General features: G+C 44.5%; 1 annotated feature.

Annotated features, from left to right (window-relative positions):
- Positions 1,656-2,156: an enhancer, noted in NCBI's record as "H3K4me1 hESC enhancer chr16:18310316-18310816 (GRCh37/hg19 assembly coordinates)". NCBI's record gives its function as "activates a minimal SCP1, AML or CMV promoter by ChIP-STARR-seq in naive H9 embryonic stem cells {active_cell/tissue: H9 hESC(naive)}" and the evidence as "EXISTENCE:reporter gene assay evidence [ECO:0000049][PMID:30033119]".

Below are 3,723 nucleotides of genomic sequence, written 5' to 3'. Positions count from 1 at the left end.
TGTGAGGTCCTGCAGCTGGTAGGCAACGGAGGTGGGGTATAGACCAAGTGAGTCTGGCTCTAGAGTCCTTGCTTTTAACCACCATACATGATTGCTTCTCAGAAGTGGAAAACGCTGAGACAGGCACAGCTTTTTATACCTTTACTCACTTATGTTACGGCGAGGGTGACCAGCTGTCTTGGTTTGCCCAGGCCTGAGCGGATTCCCAGAGTGTGGGACTTGCAGTGCTCAAGCCAGGATGGATAGTCACCCTAGTAACCTCCAGACTCTGTAGACATCTGTGTTTGTGATCTGATTGTTACTTTCAGTCTGTTGAGTTCATATTACTGATGTAAGAGTTAAGAAGAAATTATTTAGGCAGATAGTGAGGGTAAGGAAGTCCTCAGTAAGGTTTTCCTTTTAATGAAAAGCAGTCCCCAAATCATTTTTCTTTTCTAACGGAGAGCATCCTGTAAAATCAAGCTGCAGACATAGGCAAGCAAGCTGGAAGCTTGCACGGGTGAATGCCGGCAGCTCCGCCCATAAGAAAAGGCTAGCTGGGGCTAGGCACGTCCAACACGGCAGTTCCATCTTCCCTTCTCTTTGCCAGCCATGTGTACAGTAAGGAGCAGGCAACAAGGAGCCAGCCAGGCAAAGACCCCATTTGCATAGTAACACTAGGGTGGGGCGGCCAACTTCCCCATGCGCTATGTAAATGTCACACCTGGTGCAACCAATCTTTGGGCCCTAGTAAATCAGGCACCGCCTCCCCAACCCTGTAAAATCTGGTGCACTCTGACTTGGGCCAGAAGTCCCACTGGGTGCCCCCCTCTCGGAAGAGAGACAGTGTTCTCCTTTCTCATTCTTTTGCCTATTAAACCTCTGCTTTTAAACTCACTCTTTGTGTGTGTCTGTGTCCTTAATGTTTTTGGTATGAGGCAACGAATCTCAGGTATTACCCCCGAGAGAATGACGCTGCTTCACTCTGTGCTAATCACAATTGACACAAGGGCCGAATCCCAGTCTCAAGTTCACCTACGATGACTTTATCATCCACATGGCTCAAAGCTGTGGTCAAGTTTCCTCCTGTTTTGAAAATATGTGCTATGCTCCAGTTAAGTCAGCACAGCTCTAGGTAGATCAAAATTCATCTTTGGAGGATTTCTGAAATTCACTTGAGGAGTAGATCAGTTGGGGATGGTGTGATGGAGGAAAAAGAAAATCCCAAGATTTGATGGCAAGGTTAGAGTGACCTTCTGACCTTGAGCAAATGGCTTAAGCTGTCTGGGCCTTGATGTCCTCGTTTATAAAATGAGTCCGTAATAAAAGCCACAATGATGAGCATCAGGCACTGTGCTGAGTGTTTGCCATCTAAGGGGTTATCTGGTTATCTCATTTAATCATCACAACCACGGGAGGGGAAGCTCCTGGGGTTAAGTGTCTCGCCCAAGGTTGCAGCTGGTGGGGAATAGTCTGGTTGCAAACCCAGAGACCACACTTTTAACTGCTATGGAATGTTGTCTCCCGTGGCTGTTTCTGAGGAGACAGAAAAACATGCCAATTAGGGCCAAAAAAACGGGAGGTGGCCTCAAGGGCAGTGCATTACATTAAGAGTGTTTGCAAAGGCGTGGGTGTTTCTCCACCCGCGAGTCGCTGCTGACTTCCCGACACCTACATGCAGGGTCACCCTGCAGCTTCTGAGCACCTGGCCGGCTCCCCCCAGCAATGTGTGTTTGATGTTATCAGTGGGTTTGAGGCATGGCTGAGGCCCCAGGAATCTTTCTCTTTCATGGAGAAGCCAAGCTCACATCTCCCAGTGGCAGCTGGTGCTGGCGTCTGGCTGGAGTTGCAGGGACTATGTGTCAGCTATAGCAGTTCCTGCGACTGTATTCACCTACTGAAGGTCCTTGATCTATTGCTGGGGTTTGCCAAGGGTCTCAGGGGTCTGCTGCGGAGCAGAGAGACTGATTATTGTTTTTTAAATCTCCAGCTGACCCCCTTGTTCTCACGTTAATCACTTTGAGAATAAAAATGGCTACCAATAATTGAGCACTTACTACGTGCCAGGCACAGGCACATCCTATGCCTGCCTCCCTCCTCCTCCGGGGCTGCTGGCTCTCCTTATCCTTTTTATTTTTGCTTTTTTCCCCACAGCTAGTAACTGTGTTCTAAACACCAATAAGAGGGCCTGGCAAATGTGGTTACTCAATAACATTTATTGAATGAATGGGTGTGAGCGAGTGTGTGTTAGGCTCCCTGCTAAGCCCATTACGTGTATTATTTTACTCAACTCTCACAGTAATCCTATGAGATAAGCTTCATCTTTATCTCCATGTTACAAAGGAGAAAATGTGCTCAGAGATGTCAAGTAATTTCCCCCAAAATGCACAGCTTGTGTCAATGCAAGAATGCAAATTTAGCAGTCTCCAAATTCTACCTCATTTACTATCTCCCAAATAGATATGTATAAATATCCCACATATGGAGATACATTTTAAGGATTTATATGTATCTATTTCCATGTAACACGGCCACACATATGTATCCTATATAATATGCACATGTATAGTATGTGCACATATTCACGTGTAAATGTATCAGTTACCTGTAGCTGTGTAACAAGTAACACCACCCTCATGGTTATAAAAATAAACACTTTTTTTTGCTCATAGGTCTGTGGTTTAGCTGGAGAGATTCTGCTTTAGGCTGTGGGTTGAGTTCAAGTCTGATTCTTACATTTATTTCTGAGGTCCAGATTGGAGAAGCAGTGGTACCTGGTGAAGGTTGGCAGCTTCCAGAGAGGAGTGAGCAGAAATACTCAATGCCTTTTAAGGTCTAAGCTGGGAACTGGTGCACCGTCAGCTCTGCTCATGTTCCATTGGCCAAAACAAACCCATCACTAACGGGGCAGAGGATTCTGTTCTTCCCATGGTGAAGGGAATGAGAGGGAAGTAAATATTTGTTAAACAGGAAAACACACCACTATCATATTTTAATTATATATGGATGTATTTGTATTTTATCTTTTTTTTTGAGATGGAGTTTCACACTTGTCACCCAGGCTGGAGTGCAATGGCACGTTCACGGCTCACTGCAACCTCTGCCTCCTGGGTTCAAGCAATTCTCCTGCCTCAGCCTCCCGAGTAGCTGGGATTACAGGCACCTGCCACCATACCCAGCTTTTTTTTTTTTTTTTTGTATTTTTTTTTACTAGAGATGAGGTTTCACCATGTTGGCCAGGCTGGTCTTGAACTCCTGACCTCAGATGATCCACCTGCCTCTGCCTCCCAAAGTGCTGGGATTACAGGCATAAGCCTCGGCGCCCAGCCTATATTTATCTTTTTCACCCATGACCCCAGCTTCAGTGAGGAGTTCTGTTACTTTGTACTTTTACTGGGCATTCGTTTCCTTGTTTGGAAAATAGTGACTATAATTAATAAAAGTGTTTGTATTCTTGCAAATTGCCAAGAGAGTAAATTTGAAGCATCCCCACCACTTGTTAATTAGCTTGATTTCCCCAGTCCGCAATGTATACATATTTCAAAACATCAGGTTGTACACAATAATTATAGACAATTTTTGTTTGTCAATTCAAAAAGTAATAAGTAAAGGAAAAGAAAAATGTAAGATACTTTAAAAAATGACTGGCTCGTGTTGAGAAGTAACTTTTACTATTTATTTGTTTTTTTGTTTGTTTGTTGGTTGGTTTTTTTTTTTTTTTTTTTGAGACGGAGTTTCGCTCTT

This window comes from Homo sapiens, chromosome 16, assembly GCF_000001405.40.
Source record: "Homo sapiens chromosome 16, GRCh38.p14 Primary Assembly".
Lineage (NCBI taxonomy): Eukaryota > Metazoa > Chordata > Mammalia > Primates > Hominidae > Homo > Homo sapiens.
This window is presented reverse-complemented; position numbering and strand designations above follow the sequence as displayed.